This window comes from Homo sapiens, chromosome 2 (genome assembly GCF_000001405.40).
Source record: "Homo sapiens chromosome 2, GRCh38.p14 Primary Assembly".
Classification (NCBI taxonomy): domain Eukaryota; kingdom Metazoa; phylum Chordata; class Mammalia; order Primates; family Hominidae; genus Homo; species Homo sapiens.
The window spans coordinates 171,384,446-171,402,649 of NC_000002.12; the positions used below are offsets into that span (position 1 = coordinate 171,384,446).

At 37.9% G+C, this 18,204-nt stretch overlaps 1 protein-coding gene across 11 annotated transcripts in view, besides 2 other annotated features; it reads right to left on the reverse strand.

Moving 5' to 3' along the window:
* Positions 1 to 18,204, reverse strand: part of METTL8 (methyltransferase 8, tRNA N3-cytidine) — a 119,027-nt gene that overhangs the window by 68,700 nt on the left and 32,123 nt on the right. For 6 of the 11 annotated variants that reach the window (NM_024770.5, NM_001321157.2, NM_001321154.2 and 3 more), the window contains one exon: positions 7,598 to 7,752. The exons of the other annotated variants lie outside the window; for them this stretch is intronic. In NM_024770.5, coding sequence (NP_079046.2) covers positions 7,598 to 7,740 — 143 coding nt within the window. In that variant the 5' untranslated portion in view covers positions 7,741 to 7,752. The remainder of the gene's footprint in view (positions 1 to 7,597; positions 7,753 to 18,204) is intronic. 11 annotated transcript variants of the gene reach the window in all.
* Positions 1,919 to 2,503: an enhancer, noted in NCBI's record as "H3K27ac-H3K4me1 hESC enhancer chr2:172242874-172243458 (GRCh37/hg19 assembly coordinates)". NCBI's record gives its function as "activates a minimal SCP1, AML or CMV promoter by ChIP-STARR-seq in naive H9 embryonic stem cells {active_cell/tissue: H9 hESC(naive)}" and the evidence as "EXISTENCE:reporter gene assay evidence [ECO:0000049][PMID:30033119]".
* Positions 2,504 to 3,088: an enhancer, noted in NCBI's record as "H3K27ac-H3K4me1 hESC enhancer chr2:172243459-172244043 (GRCh37/hg19 assembly coordinates)". NCBI's record gives its function as "activates a minimal SCP1, AML or CMV promoter by ChIP-STARR-seq in naive H9 embryonic stem cells {active_cell/tissue: H9 hESC(naive)}" and the evidence as "EXISTENCE:reporter gene assay evidence [ECO:0000049][PMID:30033119]".

An 18,204-nucleotide genomic window follows, 5' to 3' on the forward strand; every position in this document is an offset into this window, starting at 1 on the left:
GCTGCAGTGAGCTGTGACCGTGCCACTGCACTCCAGTCTGGGTGACAGGGCAAGACTGTCTCAAATAAGCAAACAAACAAACAGACAAAAAATGAAAGACTAGACCAACTGTGGTAGCTCATTCCTGTAATCTCAGCACTTTAGGAGGCTGAGGCAGGAGGACTGCTTCAGCCTAGGAGTTCCAGACCAGTCTGGGCAACATAGTGAGACCCCACCTCTACAAAAAAAATAAAAAATTAGCCAGGTGTGGGTAGCACACACCTGTAATCTCAGCTACTTGGGGGACTGAGGCAGGAGGATCACTTGAGCCTAGGAGGTCAAAACTGCAATGAGCTGTGATCATGCCACTGCACTCCAGTCTAGGTGACAGAGCAAGATGCTGTCTTTAAATTAATTAATTAATAAAGTAAGTAAATAAGTAAAAGACTATAGGCAGATATAAGTACTAGTAATACAAATACCCAGAATCTGGAAGGCAAATCTTTCTCAGCATATTAGAAACTAAATAAAAAAGAGTATCTTTATTTTTTCTTAAAATTAAAAAAAAATATGGTCATATAGAGAGTAAATAATCCTTAAAACCAAAGGCTAAATGGAAAAATGAACTGTAGATAATTCTGAGCAACACCTCTGAGAGAAAACTGGCATATGCTTTTCTAGAAACATCTTTAAAAAATCAAATTCAGGCTAGGTGTGGTGGCTCATGCCTGTAATCCCAGCATTTTGGGAGGCCAACACAGGAGGACTGCTTGAGGCCAGGAGTTCAAGACCAGCCTGGGCAACATGGCAAGACCCCCCCTCTCTAAAAAAAATAAAATAAAACAAAATTAAAAATTAGCCATTATAGTGCCATTGTACTTCAGCCTGGGTGACAGGGCAAGACCCTGTCTCAAAAAAAAAAAAAATCAAATTCAGCAAGAGAGGAAACACTATTCTTAAATATAAAGGAGAAAATAAGGAAGAAAACAAAAACTTCTGAACAGAATTTTGGACTTGAAGGATGGGGAGAACAAACCAGGTTTCGTTTAATTTACACATCTTCTCCTTAAGAAGAAAAAAATGTAAAAAAGGTGTGTGGGAAGATAATGTGAATCAACTACCTTCCTCTTCCCTGGGTGAAAGTTTTTATTGCTGCTCTTACAGTATGTATCTGTGTTGGTAGAGAGTTCACCACAGGTGTCGGGTGCAGACTGGCCAACCCCTTGGGGGGTATGCTATGAAGATGGATGGCTGTCTAGACTAGATCAATGTTTTTCAAACTGAATAACAGAGCCCTAAGGGTCCTCTTGGCTGCTAGAGTAAGTGAAGAGAGGTGAGAGGGAAAAGGAAGTGGTGCTGTTGATGCTCCAGGCCTCTATGCCTAATTCATTCAGGTCAGGTTTGCTTTTATCTTTTAAATCCTAGGATTCCATGTTAAAGCTTCACTTGAAAATAGTTCTGTTGCTAAAGAAAATTATAAAAACCACTGGACTGGATCAAGGGTTCCCAAACCTGGCTCCTCAACAGAATAACTAAAAGAGCCTTTTCAAGTTAGAAATTCCTGGGCCATACCTCTAGACCTACTGAAATAGTAACTCCCAGAAGGATTCTTGTGCAGCCAGCCCAAAGCTAGCCCGTGTGTTTGAGGAGTGCTGGACCAGATGATCCTTGCTTTCCTGAGTCTATGACAAAACAGAACTTAAATCAGTAGGCAAGAATCTCAGGCAAGAGAGCAGGTGGTAGCAGATGGAAAAAGAGAATATAGATAGCTAAATCACTAGGGTCTAATGAAGAAAACAAAAAAAATTGATAAATGAGGAGCTTGCCTAAGATCAGAAGTTGCTCTGGAGATTTAATTGCCTGGCAAAGGGCCCATTTTATCTCATAGCCTGTGATAACTATCCATATTGGTGATGGTAGTGAAAATGGTTTAATGGAGCAGCTGTCCAAAAAAGTATAATGTGAACTACATACGTAGTTTTAAAATTTCTAGTAGCCATGGTAAGGAAAAATGAAAATAAAGAGGTGAAACCAATTTTAAAAATATATTTTATTTAGGCCAGGCACAGTGGCTCACGCCTGTAATCCCAGTACTTTGGGAGTCCGAGGTAGGCAGTTCACCTGAGGTCAGGAGTGCGAGACCGGCCTGGCCAACACAGCGAAACCTTGTCTCTACAAAAAATACAAAAATTAGCTGGGCGTGGTGGCAATATGGAAGGGAAGAGTGTGGTCCCTTTAAATGATACAGAAGCGGGGAAGGGAAGCGCTACTTAGAGGAGGACGTGGTCCCTGGCTAGGGCTCCACCCACATGAACCTAGGTGAGGACAGGCATTTCCTGCCCAAATGTTGTATTTTCCCAAGACCGCCCTGGCCTGCCACGCCCCGATCCTATGCCTATAAACAATCCCCTCCCCCCAGACCCCAGCAGGCAGACACACAGGTGGCTGGACATGGCGAGAAGCACATCAGGAGGCACCAGCACACCAGCAGGCCACCCACCAGCAGAACGACATTTGGCTAGGGCAGCCAGAGGAGAGCCCAGTCCACCTAGCGGTCCGACTCCAGGGGAAAACCATCTCCCTTCTGACTCCCCAATCTGCTGAGAGCTACTTCCACTCAGTAAAACCTTGCACTCATTCTCCAAGCTCATAAGTGATCCGATTCTTCCCATACACCAAGGCAAGAACCCTGGGATACAGAAATCTGTCTTTACGATAAGGCAGGGGTATAACTGAGCTAACACAAGCTGCCTATGCATGGCTAAACTAAAAGAGCACCCTGTAACACGCGCTCACTGGGACTTCAGGAGCTGTAAACACTCACCCCTATACACTGTCATGGGGTAGGAGCCCCACAGCCTGCCCATCTGTATGCTCCCCTAGAGGTCTGAGCAGCGGGGCACTGAAGAAGTGAGCCACACCCCCATCGCACATCCAGCGAGGGGGACATAGGAGCTTTTTCCCTTTCAGTGGTGCATGTTTATAATCCCAGATACTCAGGAGGCTGAGGCAGGAGAATTGCTTGAACCTGGGAGGCAGAGGTTGCAGTGAGCTGAGATTGAATCACTGCACTCCAGCCAGGGCGACAGAGCGAGACTCTGTCTTATTTAAAAAAAATTAAAAAAAAAATTTTTTTTTAAATATATATATGTATGTATGTGCATATATATATAATTTAATTGCATATATCCAAATTTTCATTCACTTTTAACATATAATTCAATATAAAAATTGAGATTGTTTACCTTATTTTTTGTACTAAGTTTTTAAAATTTTACAGTACATCTCAATTCAGCCCAGTTATTAATATATTTCAAGTGCTGAATAACCACCTGTGGCTAGTGACTACCATATTGTATAGTGTAGAACTAATTAATTAAAAAATCAATGTATTCCCTTTCAAAATTGAGATTCGGTTGCAATAAAAACATAAAAAGCCCATGAATCACCTTCCTAGCCCCAGAGATGCTGTTCCAGAGGCTAGTCTGATAACAATTTTGTCTGCAGATATCATGCCCAACTTGACTTCTTCAGCTCTGACCACTCTCCCTCTTCCCAGCAGCAGTGTCTGCGTGCTGGACATTTACACCTGAATGTCCTGCTCACAAAGCCTATTATTCAAAATGTCTAAAACCAAATTAACCATCTTTCTTCCAAAATAAAACAAATACATTTACCTCTTGATTTTCCTATTTCTATCAGTTACTTAAGATCAAAACTTCAGAGTCAACTTCTTCCTTTTTCTTTACTCTGCACAAGCACCAAATTCTGTTTATTCTTCTGTCACGATCTCTTGCTCACTGGCCCTTTTCTGCTTCTAATTCTTCCTGCTGATCAGTCTAGCATGGTGTTACCAAATATATACACTTAATACACTAAATATAATGTCATTTATTTATCTTCAGTGGCTCTATAATGCCTTATACTTCAGCTATGAATTCAGGACCATGCACATCTTAAACCTACCCCCCATCTGGCCTATGTCATTCCAACCTTATCTTTCACCAATCTCCTAGAAAAGCCTTTCTTAAGGCAAACTATCCTATCCTCTATCTCATGAAAATGCCTTATATTTCCTCATCTCAGTGCTTTATGATTTTCTATCCACCTAGAATGCCCTTATTTCAGTTTACCTATTCAAAGCATTAATTCAACAATATTTGTGTGTCAGGCATTGTGCTATGTACTGCAGGCAATATAAATACAGGCATATCTTGTATAATTATGCTTTGCTTGATCACACTTCACAGCTATTGCATTTTTTACAAATTGAAGGTTTGTGGCAACCCTGCATTGAGCAAGTCTATTGGCACCATTTCTCCAACAGCATGTGCTCATTTCATGTCTCTGTTACATTTTGGTAATTCTTGCAATATTTCAAACTATTTCATTATTATTATATCTGTTATGAGCTGTGATCAGTGATCTTTGATGTTACTATTGTAATTGTTTTAGAGTACCATGAACCATATCCATATAAAACAGCTAATTTAATTGATAAATGTTATGTGTGTTCTGACTGCTCCACTGACCTGGCTTTCCCTGTCTATTTCCCTCTCCTCAGGTTCCCCTACTCCCTGAGACAAAACAATAATGAAATGAGGCCAGTTGATTACCCTACAATGGCCTCTACGTGTTCAAATGAAAGGAATAGTTATATATATCTCATTTTAAATCAAAAGCTAGAAAAGATTAAGCTTAGTGAGGAAGGCCTTTTGCAAGCTGAGATAGGACAAAACCTAGGCCTCTAGCACTAGTCAACTTGTGAAATGCAAAGGAAAAGTTCTTAAAGGAAATTAAAGATGCTACTCCAGGTTGAGTGCTATGGCTCACACCTGTAATCCCAGCACTTTGGGAGGCTGAGTTGGAAAGATCACTTGAGCTCAGGAGTTCAAGGCCAGCCTGGGCAACATGGTGAAACCCCATCTCTACAAAAAATACAAAAATTAGCCAGGCATGGCAGTGAATGCCTATAGTCCCAGCTACTTGGGAGGCTGAGGCCAGAGAATCACTTGACCCAGGTGAAGGTTCAGTGAACCGTGACCACACCACTGCACTCCAGCTTGGGTGACAGAGTCTCCCTGTCTCACAAAAAAAAAAAAAAAAAAAAAAAAAAAAATGCTGCTCCAGTGAATACATGAATGAAAAGAAAGTGAAATAGCATTACTGATATGGAGAAAGGTTTAGTGGTCTGCATAAAAGATAAAACCAGCCACAATATTCCCATAAGCCAAAGCCTAATCCAGAGCAAGGCCCTAACTTTCTTTGACTCTATGAAGGCTCACAGAGATGAGGTAGCTGCAGAAGAAAAGTGAAGCTAGTGGAGGTTGGTTCATGAGGTTTAAGGAAAGAAGACATCTCCATAGCATAAAAGTACAAAGCAAAGCAGTAAGTGCTGATGGAGAAGCTGTAGCATCGAGTTATCCAGAAGATCCAGCTAAGATCACTGATGAAGGTGGTTACACTAAAAAACAAACTTTCAATGTAAATAAAACAGCTTTCTATTGGAAGAAGATGTCATCTAAGACTTTCATAGCCAGAAAGGAGAAGTCAATGCCTGGCTTCAAAGCTTCAAAGGACAGGCTGACTCTCCTGTTAAGGGCTAAGGCAGTTGGTGACTTTAAGTTGAAGCCAGTGCTTATTTACTATTCCCAAAATCCTAGGGCCCTTAAAAATTATACTGAATCTACTCTGCCTATACTCTATAAATGAAACAACAAAGCCTGGATGACAACACATCTGTTTATAGCATGGTTTACTGAATGTTTTAAGCCCACTGTGGAGACCTAATGCTCAGAAAAAAGAATTCCTTGCAAAATACTACTGCTCACTGACAATATACCTTGTCACTCCAGAGTTCTGATGGAAATGTACAAGGATATTAATGTTGCTTTCATGCCAACTAACACAATATCCATTCTGCAGCCCTTGGATCAAGAAGTAATTTCAACTTTCAAGTCTTATTTAAGAACTACATTTCGTAAAGCTATAGCTGCCATAAATAGTAATTCCTCTAGTGGATCTGGGCAAAGTAAACTGAAAACACTCTGGAAAGGATTCACCAATCTACATGCCATTAAGAACATTTGTGATTCATGGGAGGAGGTCAAAATAATAACATCAATAGGAGTTTGGAAGAAGTTGATTCTAATGGATGATAAGGGGTTCAAGACTTCAGTGGAAAAAGTAACGGCAGATATGGTGGAAACAGCAAGAGAACTAGAATTAAAAGTGGGGCCTAAAGATTTAGTCTGAATTGCTGCAATCTCATGATAAAACTTGAACAGATGAGGAGTTCCTTTGTAGGGATGAGCAAAGAAAGTAGTTTCTTGAGATGGAATCTACTTGGGGTGAAGACAGTGTGAACACTGTGGAAATCACAACAAAGAATTTAGACATAATTTAGACAACAAAGAATTTAGACATAATTTAGACAACAAAGAATTTAGACAAAATTCTAAATATTAAACAAAATATTTAGAATATTACATACACTTAGTTGATAAAACAGTGGCAGGATCTGTGAGGACTGACTGATTTTGAAAGTTCTACTGTAGGTAAAATGCTATCAAACAGCATCACATGCTACAGAGAAATCTTTCATGAAAGGGAGAGTCAGTTGATGATGCAAACTCCATTGTTGTCTTATTTTAAGAAACTGCCACAGCCACTCCAACCACCACCCTGATCAGTCAGCAGCCATCAACACTGAGGTAAGACCCTCTGCCAACAAAAAGATTATGACTCACTGAAGGCTCAGATGACTGTTAGCATTTTTTAGCAAGAAATTACTTTTTAATTAGGTTTGTACACTGTTTTCTTAGACATAATGCTATTGTACACTTAAGAGACTACAGTATAGTGTAAACATAACTTTTATATGCACTGGGAAACCAAAAAAATTGTGTGACTCACTTTATTGCAATATTTGCTTTACTGCAGTGGTCTCAACCAAACCTACAACATTTCTGAGGTGTGCCTGTAATCGTAATCTCAGTTTCCCTCACTTTAAGAAATCTTTCTGACTATGCCCAAACAGAAGTGTTTTTGCATTACTGAGTTGTTCTCATATGGCATATAGTCTGTAACACTCATTGAGCCCTCACAATTTACTGCCTTGTAGGGGTAATTATCAGCTTTTTCTGTAAATATCTATCTTTCCAAATAGGGTGGATTCCCTGAAAGCATAGACGAGAATCATACCAATATGATCTCCCTGGTGCTCAGTAAGACACAGGTACTGATCTGCATTTGCTGGATGACAAGTATGAAAAAGAGGGAAGGAACTGTGGAGCAGGAGGAGGGCCCCACCTAGGAAAGAATCCTCACCCCCACCCAGTGACAGCAGGCAAATCAGGATCAGAGGTAAGTAGGAAGGGCCTGCAAGAACTCCAAGGCTACTAAAAGCATATGGAAAGTTTCACTCTTCCAATTCCATTTGCAATGAAATTCAGAATCAGCAACACTTAAGTCAGGATCGGTTACCCTAGCTTTTGGACCTCTACAACATGAGTTAGGTCATCAGCTTTAAAAACCCTTTCTTAATTCTAAATGAAAATAATACCACTGGTGATATTTAAGAAACACACATAATATCAGATTTAAAAAGAAAACTCACCACATGTTGTGTTCAAAAACTTTGGCTGGGTCAGTTAAAATCCTTGATCCCAGAGGGGCCACTGGGTGGTAACCACTTTGGTATCTGTGTGGCACCTTTCCTAGCCTTAGACAAGAAATGGAATTTCTCCAAATCATATTCATCCTAAGCAGTACCTAAAAAGTTACAAATGATTAATTAGTCAACATAGATTAAACAGTGTATTGTTTATCTAATACCCAAAACCTGGTTCTAAAGGTTTTCAATCTGAGAATGCACATGAAAACTAGAAACTTTTTAATGAAAGATGAGCATAACAGCTTCTCTCCTGAAGTATATTCAGGCCAAGAGATGGGAGAGAAATATTTAGGGTGGGCAACACTGGCTGGCATTTTTTTGAAGCCATAGCCTTGACCAACTTTGCTTTGTTCGATATTTTATTTGCTTATTTAATTTTTAGCACATGATCAAAGCATGTCTGAATTTGTGTACTAAAGACAGATTTTTTTTAAAGTAATTTTATTTTTTGGGGGGTAATTCTAGGAAAATATATTTCTAGGAAATATTTTGTGACCACTAGACAAAAATCCCAAGTATGGCAGAAGAATAAGAAAACAAACCTGTAACTCTCATTCTCCGTGCTGAACTGAATAATATGAAAATCAGTCAAATAAATAAATATTAAGACAGAATCTTAGCAATTATTAATTCTAACAATCCTGTATACATATATTTTTAAGAATAGTCAGTAATATGGATGCAAAATAGATTTTCCTGAACAAAATGCATGCTTTGCCAGGCATGGTGGCTCATGCCTGTAATCCCAGCACTTTGGCAGGCCGAGGCAGGTGGGTCACTTGAGGTCAGGAGTTCGAGACCAGCCTGGCCAACATAGGAAAACCCCATCTTTACTAAAAATACAAAAAAAAAAAAAATTATCCAGGAGTGATGTGAATTCCTGTAATCCCAGCTACTTGGAGGCTGAGGCAAGAGAATCGCTTGAACCCAGGAGGCGGAGATTGCAGTGAGCCGAGATTGTGTCATTGCACTCCCGCCTGGGCAACAGAATAAGACTCTGTCTCAAAACAAACAAAACAAAACAAAAATGCATGCTTAAGGCCAGCTGCAGTGGCTCATGCCTATAATCCCAACATTTTGGGAGGCCAAGGTGAGAGAGTTACTTGAGTCCAAGAGTTAGAGACCAGCCTGGGCAACATAGTGAGACCGTTTCTTCAAAAAATAAAAAAAAATTAGGGGTGATGGTGCACATCTGTGGTTCCAGCTACACGAGAGGCCAAGCCTAGAGGCTGAAGCTGTAGTGAGCCATGATCATGCCACTGCATTCCAGCCTGGGTCATAGAGCAAGACTCTGTCTTATAAAAAAGCAAAAAAAAAAAAAAAAAAGCATGCTTATACCCTAGCTCAAGAGGAGAATCATCTGCTGATTAGCCCAAATCCATCTCCATTTCTGGAAGAATAACAAGCATTTAAAGAGTATGTCATCTTAATTATGTACTTGTAAATATGTCACTTTAAAATCTTTATGGAAAAGTATTAAAAAGAAGCTCTAAGGTGCTTACTTTTTCCAATAAGAAACCATTGTAATACTGCTTGACATTTCAGTTGTTCATCACAACATTCAGCCTAATGCTGTCAGCTGTCAGGTGGAAACAGATGCTAAAAGGTGTGTGTATGTAATATGCATCACAGATCATTGGAGGTGCTATTAGGCGTAAAAATGCCATATACTGTGCACTCTTTACCACCCTACTGAAAATGAATAGGTTTAAGACTGTGAATTCCAAAATGAACTGCAGAATGTCAAAAACAGCTCTTTGTACTTTTAAACATAAAATTCAAGATTTTCCTTTTGGAAAAAAAAAGTGGGGGCATAGTTATACATACCAACAAGACTGTAATGGTTCCATTCAAATGTGACTTAACAGTGATAAGAAATGAAACCTTCAACAGCAAGTGCAGATGCTCCTGTTTCTTATTTGTTTTCCTTCTCCAGTAAATGCAAGCTCTTTGGTGGAGGCAAATGAAATGAAATGCTCCACCTACCACCACCTTTACCCTGATGTGCCTTTGTTCTTTTTGCCTGCCAATGTTCCACATAAGACTATCAGTGTTCTATAAAACCCTACCTGCAAAATTATTTTTAGAGCTCTTTCTGCAGTGAATAGTATTCATAAAATCTTTTGTATGCTGAAGAGTAGAAATTGATTACACCTAGAAAGAGAGGCAATTCATGCTCAAAAGTATAAAATGATGTAAATGTTTCCTACCCAGGAAAGGCAAATCAAAATGGAATTTCAATCCTTTAAATAATCACGTGATACTTATCTATACTCATCTATATATAGAAGAGGGAAAAAAAAAAAGTAAGAGTTTCTCTCACTATAAATGACCAAGAGCCTCTGTAGACAGAGACAAAAAGATACAACCAGATTGGATTATTAGGCAATTCAGGAAAATGTCAGAGAAATGTGAATCTTGCAGGCTGCTAGTCTGTGGAGAAAGCATGGTGTGGCCAGGGTCTAAATATGTGGCAATTTCCCTACTTAGGCAGCTGTTTCTTTAATTAACCACACAAACATCTTTATTTCACTTGCTTATCTATAACAGTTATGCACAGCCTTGCATTGCTATTTATCTTATTACATAAATATATAACAACTGTATATAGGAGATAATATAAATACATAATAAAATTATATAAATGCCTTCTTACTTAAATTGCAAGCTTCTAGAGGCAGCACCAGGCTGCTCATGAATTGTTTGACTGATTACATAAAAATGGTATTTGTCTGACATAAATCTAATTGGATGGAAGTTACTTCATATTTTCCAGGGTGGATCCTAATTAAGATCCTTGCAGTGCGAAGGAAGTGATAGAAGAATGTGACAATGTACAGGTAGCTATCCAATTAAATTAACTACGATGATTAACAAATATGTGCTTTGTATTATTACTACCACGTTAGCCTAAGGTTTGCTGGTCATGGTTCAATTTTGTGGGAAAAGAAGGGCAGGGCCAGCCCCAAATAAAATTGTGGTAGAAAAAGTAGGTTTCTGCCACCAGAATGACCCAATCCCTTTATGTACCTTCTCTTAGCTCTCTTTTGGCATACTCTAATTTGAATACCAGTTTAACTCAGATAATTGCACAACAAAACTGTGTGAATAAGTAGTATTTTTATTTGAAACAACACAAAGAGGTACAGTTTAAAATATTCCATTCATCCAAAAGAAGGCAAGAAAGGAAGAACAGAGGAATGAAAAACAAATAGGACAAATAGAAAACAAATACCAAGATAGCATATGTAAACCCAACCATATCAATACTTACAATAAATATAAATGGGCTCCAATTAAAAAGCAGATTATTAACTTGGATTAAAAAAAGTAAGACCCAGCAATATACTGTTTATAAGGCAAGCACTTTAAATATAAAGAAACAAATAGATTAACGTAAAAAAAGGTATACTATGCAAACACTGCATAAGAAAGCTGGTGGGGCTATATTAATAGACAAAGTAGACTTCAATGAAAAGACTATTATAGAGATAAAGAGGGGCATTTAATAATGATAATAAGCCAATTCATCAAGACAACATAGCAGTCTTAACTATGCATGTACCTAATAACAAAGCTGTAAAATAAATAAAGCAAAAAGACAGAACTTTCTAAAAGGAGAACTTAACAAATTCACAGTAATACTTGGAGATTTTAACAACCCTTTTCCAGTAATAAATAGAAAAATAACCAGCGACAAGCTATCTAAAAATCAAAAAGGATAAAGAAGATTTGAACATTATTAACTTGACCTAGATGACATTTATAGAAAGAACATCATACAGCAATAGCAAGAATACACATTCTTTTCAAATGAACATGGAACATTCACCAAGGTAGACCATACGCTGGGCTATAAAACAAGTCTCAATAAATAGATAAATTTGGCTGGCCAGGCACAGTGGCTCATGCCTGTAATACCAGCACTTTGGGAGTCCGAGGCGGGCAGATCACCTGAGGTCAGGAGTTTGAGACCAGCCTGGCCAACATGGTGAAACCCCATCTCTACTAAAAATCCAAAAAAAAATTAGCTGGGTATGGTGGCGGGTGCCTATAATCAGCTGAGGCACAAGAATCACTTGAACCCAGGAGGCGGAGGTTGCAGTGAGCCGAGATTGTGCCACTGCACTCCAGCCTGGGTGACAGAGTGGGACTCTGTCTCAATGAATAAATAAATAAATAAATAAATAAATAAAAATAAATCCCAAAGTATTAAAATCATACAGAGTGTGCTTTTTGACTATAATAATATTAAATGTTAATATTTTGATGAATTAACTTGTATTAATAAATGTCCCTTCTTATCTCTGGTAACAGTCATTTTCTTGAGGTCTACTTTGTCTGATATTAATACAGCCCTACCAATTGTCTAATGTAATGTCATGTATGGCATGCTGTGTATCTTTTAAAAAAATTTTAGTCTATTTGTGTGCTTTTCTAATAGGCAGTGCTTTTCTAATAGGCAGCATATTGTCAATCCTTGCTTTTGTATCCAAATTCAAAATAATAATAAGATAGCTACAAAAATTTCCAAATGTTAAGGAATTAAGCAACACAGCTATAAATAACCTATGAGTAAAAGAACAAATCTGAAGAGAAATTAGAAAATATGTTGAACTGAATGATAACAAAATCTGAAAATATCAAAATGTATGGGATGCAACTAAAGCAGTGTATAGAGAGAAATTTATAGTTTTACATATTTTTATTACAAAAGAGAAAGATGTCAAATCAATAATCTCAGCTTCTATCTTTTTTTTTTTTTCTTTTTTGAGACAAGGTCTTGTTCTATCACCCAGACTAGAGTGCAATGGCACGATCATAGCTCATAGGCCTGCTTTGGCCTCCCAAGTAGCTGGTACTACAGGCATGTACCACCACACCTGGCTACTTTTTTTTTTTTTTTAAGAGAGGGTCTCCCTATGTTGCCCAGGCTAGTCTTGAACTCCTAGGCTCAAGGGATCCTCCCACCTCAGCCTCCCAAAGTGCTGGGATTACAGGCATCAGCCATCTTGCCTGGCCTCAGCTTCTATCTTCACAAGCTAGAAAAATAAGAATAAATTAGACCCAAAGTAAGTAGAAAGAAGGAAATAATAAAAAATAAAAACAGAAAGCAATGAAATAGAAAACAGGGCCAGGCATGGTAGTTCACGTCTGTAATCTCAGAGCTTTGGGAGGGAGGTCAAGGTGGGCAGATGGCTTGAGGCCAAGACTTTGAGACTAGCCTAGGCAAAATAGTGAGACCCTGTCTCTAAAAAAAAAAAAAAAAAAAAAAAAAAACAACATCAACAACAACAAAAAACTTCAAACAAACAAAATTAGCCAGTGCCTGTAGTCCCAGCTACTTGGGAGGCCAACGAGGGAGGATCACTTGAGTTCAGGAGTTCAAGGCTGCAGTGAACTATGATCATGCTATTGCACTGCATTCTGGGCGACAGAGCAAAACCCTGCCTCAAAAAAAAAAAAAAAAAAAAAAGAGAGAGAGAGAGGGAAGGAGGGAAAATGAGCAAAGCAGGGAAAAATCAAAGTCAAAAGTTAGTTCTTTGGAAAGATTAATAAAACTGATAAACTTCTGGCAAGACTGATATCAAACATGTGTTTCACAAAACACAAACTTCCAATAATAGGAATGAAAAATGAGATATCACCACAGACCTTACAGACATTGAAAAGCTAATACTGGGATATTATGGACAATTTTATTGCATTCATTAGATGGGACAAAGTCCTTGAAAACCATAACTTACCAATAATAACAAAATAACACAAGAGAAAATCTGAATAGCCCTAAATTTATTAATTACATTTGTAATTAAAATCAAAACAAACAGCACACCTAATAGGATGGCTGGTATTTAAAAACAGCAACAACAACCCAGAATATAACAAGTATTGGTGAGGATGTGGAGAAATTAGGAAATTGGAGCCCTTATTCATTGCTATTGGAACATAAAATGATACAGCAGCTATGAAAAAACATTATGGTGAATCCTCAGAAATTAAACATACAATTACCATATGATTCAGCAATTCTACTTCTGGGTATATACCCAAAAGAAGTGAAAGCAGAGACCAAAGAGATATTTGTACACCCATATTCATAGCAACATCATTCACAATAGACAAAAGGTAGAAGCAACCCACGTGTCCATTGAAGATAAATGGATAAACAAAATGTGATACATACATACATATATATGTACAATGGAACATTATCCAGCCTTAAAAAGAAAGGAAATTTTGACACATGGTACAACCATGGATGAATCTTAAAGATATTATGCTAAGTGAAATAAGCTAGTCATAAAAGGATAGATATTGTATGATTCCTCTTATATGAGGTTCCTAGAGTAGTCAAACCGATAGAGACAGGAAGTGGAGTGGTGTTTGGCAGAGGTTGGGGAAGGGGGAATGGGGAATTAAGTTTTTAATGGATAGGGGAGGGGCGAGAGGAAACGGGGAGACGTAGATCAAAGGATACAAAGTTGCAGATATGTAGGATGAACACGTCTACAGATCTAATGTACAATACGAGGACTACAGTTAATAATATTGTATTATATTTGGGACTTTTGCTGAAAGAGTAGATTTCAGGTACACTTGCCACACATACACACAAAGGTAACTATGTGAGAAGATACAATTGTTAATCTGCTTGCCTATGGCAACCACTTCACTGTGTATATGTACATTAAAACATCTTCTTGTGTACCTTATATATACAATTAAAGAAGAGAAGCTAGATACCAAAAAAGTAAAAAATAAATAGATAAAGAGTTTCATTTAGGGAAGATGAAAAAGTTCTGGAAATGGATGAAGTATGAAGAAGGCAACAAAAATTTCCACAAATCCTGATAAGGTGTTTCAGTTTTTTAAAATTTACTATGTGAAAAATCTGAAAACGTGGTCCTGACCCTTCACTTAACTCAAATTAATGTCACATCAAAGGTATATATTGTACCAACTTTGCCCACAGGTTCCCATTTTCAGCTCACCATCCTATGAAGGTCCTTCCTCTTGAATCCTAAGAAGGCCAAAATGAAACAGAACAAGCAAGACTTTAGGGCCATGCCCCTATGAGATCTTAATGCCAAGGCTCAGTCATGAATAGGCAATGGTTAAAGCAATCACTAAGGAACAGACGAGAAAGGAAATGAAGCTCATTCAAGTATTGGATTGACAGTGTCATTAAAAATTGCATTTATTATGCTACCAAGTATAAAGAGGCATACCAAGAAAAGCTGACAGACTTCCTGCCAGCTCTAGGTGTAGGTAGGTATGTGTCTATTTTAGAATGTAAGGAAAAGAACAAATGTATAAAAGGACTTGGGTTCAGCATACATAGTAACCATGACAAGCCAAGGAGAAGGTGGTTTTAATAGTTACCAGTTTCCTGAGCAGACTACCACCACAATGAGCATAGTGGCAAAAGCAGCAGCCTTGATACAGAAGGCCAACTTATGGGGAGCAGATCTCTCCCCAGCTACAAATTTTGGCTAGATGCTTTGCCTACCACTAAAATGGGATCCTTTTCACAATGATTCATACATCTGCCTGACCATATCAACAAACTATAACATATGCTACAGGAATAGGTAAAATGTATGTAATGCACATGACAAAATACCTCTTAACTGCAAATTTTGCTTTTGGGGAGCAATAGTTTTGAGTAATACTTTTTTTTAAAGAAGGATTTTAATAAAAGGAAAGACTCCATAGTATATTTTGCAAATTGAAAAAATATTTTGGAAAGTAAAGGCTGAGCACAGTGGTTCATGCCTGTAATCCCAGCACTTTTGGAGGCTGAGGCAGGAGGATTGCTTGAGCCTAGGAGTTTGAGATCAGCCTGGGCAACATAGAGAGACCTCATCTCAAAATAAAAATAAATAAATAAAAGGAAATAAAGCACCAATTCCAATATCTCTTCCATGTAAATTTCATTTTTTTTTAAAAAAGTTAAATATTTACCATGTGTGATGACCTATCCTAAGCACTTATATACAGTATATTATCTTATTTAGCTTCCATTTCCCTATCAAGGGGTACTATTTTAAGAAAAAAACCTATAAAGGACGAAGTAAACTAACAGGCCTAAAGTCACCCAGCTAAAAATTGATAGAGATTCAATTCCAGTCCAAGCAGTCTAATTAAAGAATCCACATTCTACCTTTTTGGATGTTTTTGTTTTTGCTTTTTTGAACAGCATTATTATTCACATACATATAATTCACCCATTTGCCTTCTACTTTTGTACACCACATATACAAGAAGGATCATGTTACTGATTCCCCAGTCTTTAATGGGGTTGCTAATTTTGTTGTAACTGATTTAAGGAGGCCCAGAATTCCTTCTCTCCCTTCATCTCTCAACTCTGTTTTTCTCTTGGGCCTTAATCAAATAGCAAGCAATGCCATTGGTAGTCAGCAGTCCCCAGATTTAGGAAAGCACAGTCATTCTCTTATTTGGCTTGTCATATTACTATATGTGCTGAACCCATACATAACAATATGTATAATCTGTACTCAAACCTCAAGGTGCAGACAAAAGGCTCTTGCATCACCTAAATAATGTAACATTTTAACACCCACGTCTTTTCACCGGTTTGCTTCTGCAGAGCTGAGTAGTAGAGGCAAAGAACGGCTTCTTAGTTCCATTGCTTTTTAAGATGGTTCCTAAGACTGCTTTCTTGCATTTTAATACTACTAGAGGAACACCAAAGAAATAGAGCAAACAGTACTGCTGTTTGTGTGAATCTATAACGATTATCCTTGGAGCACTTAGCTAGCTCTAGGAAAAACTATTTGTAAAACTCCCCAAGGATGATTCCCAGTTGTCTCAGCTCACTGCAACCCCAGGGAGAGGAATTGCTATTAACCATACACTAAATGCCAGTCCACCATGTAAAAGTTAACTTCCCTTCAATGTTTCCTGAGTTCTGAGTATCCTTTAAATAAGTAAATTAGTGAGACGTTCATGTTTTCACCTTTGTAACTGTTTAGCATTTCTTCTCAGCTGGGAAGCTGGGAAGCAAACATCATCTAGAATGAAGTTGCACTAAACATTACCTGAGAGGCTAGCATTAATGAGAACAAATTAAGCGCTACTGTTGTACTTTTTTGGAGAGCAAAAGCTGACAGGTAAGAAACACTTAAGTATCAACTACACTGCAGTGAAAACTGAAGCTTCAATTAACCCTGGCAATTTCAGCGAACTCAGAGGGTGACCATCTGCCAGACAAACAGCTTAGGCAACTCATGCATCTTGTTTTAATCTTTCTTTGGATGATTATAATTTCAGGGTATAAATAAGGTTATTAGCAAGAACAGAACAACAACAATAATTACAGTAAGTATTTGCAGAGCATTTTGATCACACTATGACGTCAGTAACTCTGCAGCTTCAAAATGGGAATTTCATGCTTAGCGTTTGTTCTCCATGACTGCCCTGAATGGTGGCTACATGATACACTCACTCACACAAAAAGAGGCAACTGGGACTCAGAAGTTATTTCTCTAAGGGATTTAATGTAAGCTCATCTCAAAGCCATCTCAATCCAAAATATCTGAACTATTCTTATTTCTCTGGACGTTGTCTCCAAACACATTATACTGGGCCAGAATGAAATTGGTTTTAACTTATTTACCTGGCATTTCACATTTAGACTTCTATGTACGGAAGAAGGAAAAAAGCCTGGATTCTTGATGGCATCATTGAACAGGTAAACCAATGATAGTCTATCTCTGACTTCTTGCTAGGTGAAAAAAGTAAATCCTTTTGTATTTTAGCCACTATTAGGTTTTCTGTTACGTAATATGTATTATTGTTAAGTCCTGGGATTTCAGAGACAAATCCATTTGGTTTCTGCTCTCAAGAATTACCATTAAGTGAAGAAGAAAGAGATGCAAACAAAGAATCCTGACATGATATATAGTAAAGGTAAGTACAAAATGCTATTGGAGCACAGAGGAATGAAAGATTAAGTCTACTAGTGGTGGCTCTGAGAAGCTTTCTGGTAGAGGCAATATTTGTGCTGGGTATAGAAGAATGAGTAACATTCCACGGAGAGAAGGGTAAAAGCCAGGGAATTTCAGGCAGGAGGATTAGCACAAATAAAGATTAAACAGGTGTGAAAACATGGAATATTCAGAGAATAAAAATAATATAGAAAAAGGTGCTGACCTAAATAATTCTGGATATGAATGGTGCCTATAAAACTGAAGGCAATAGGAATGGTAATAAGCACTGTACTCTAGTTGATAAAGGGTTAACAATTCTGAAATCAGTATACAAGGAAATCAGAATTGAACAATTAGGAAGTAGGTGATACTTGGCAGAAGCCAGGTTTCTCATTGTTGGAGTGGGAGGTTACAAACAAGGGAGAAGAAAAGGCTAGAATAATCTATATGGTAATGACTTAGAATGCGAGTCATTTGTATGCACTCATATTTAGCTTAATATACATACGTTATATATAGAAATATCTGTAGATATGTATGTATACATTCATTAGTATACACACATATATTTCCTTACTCTGTCATCTGAGAGGG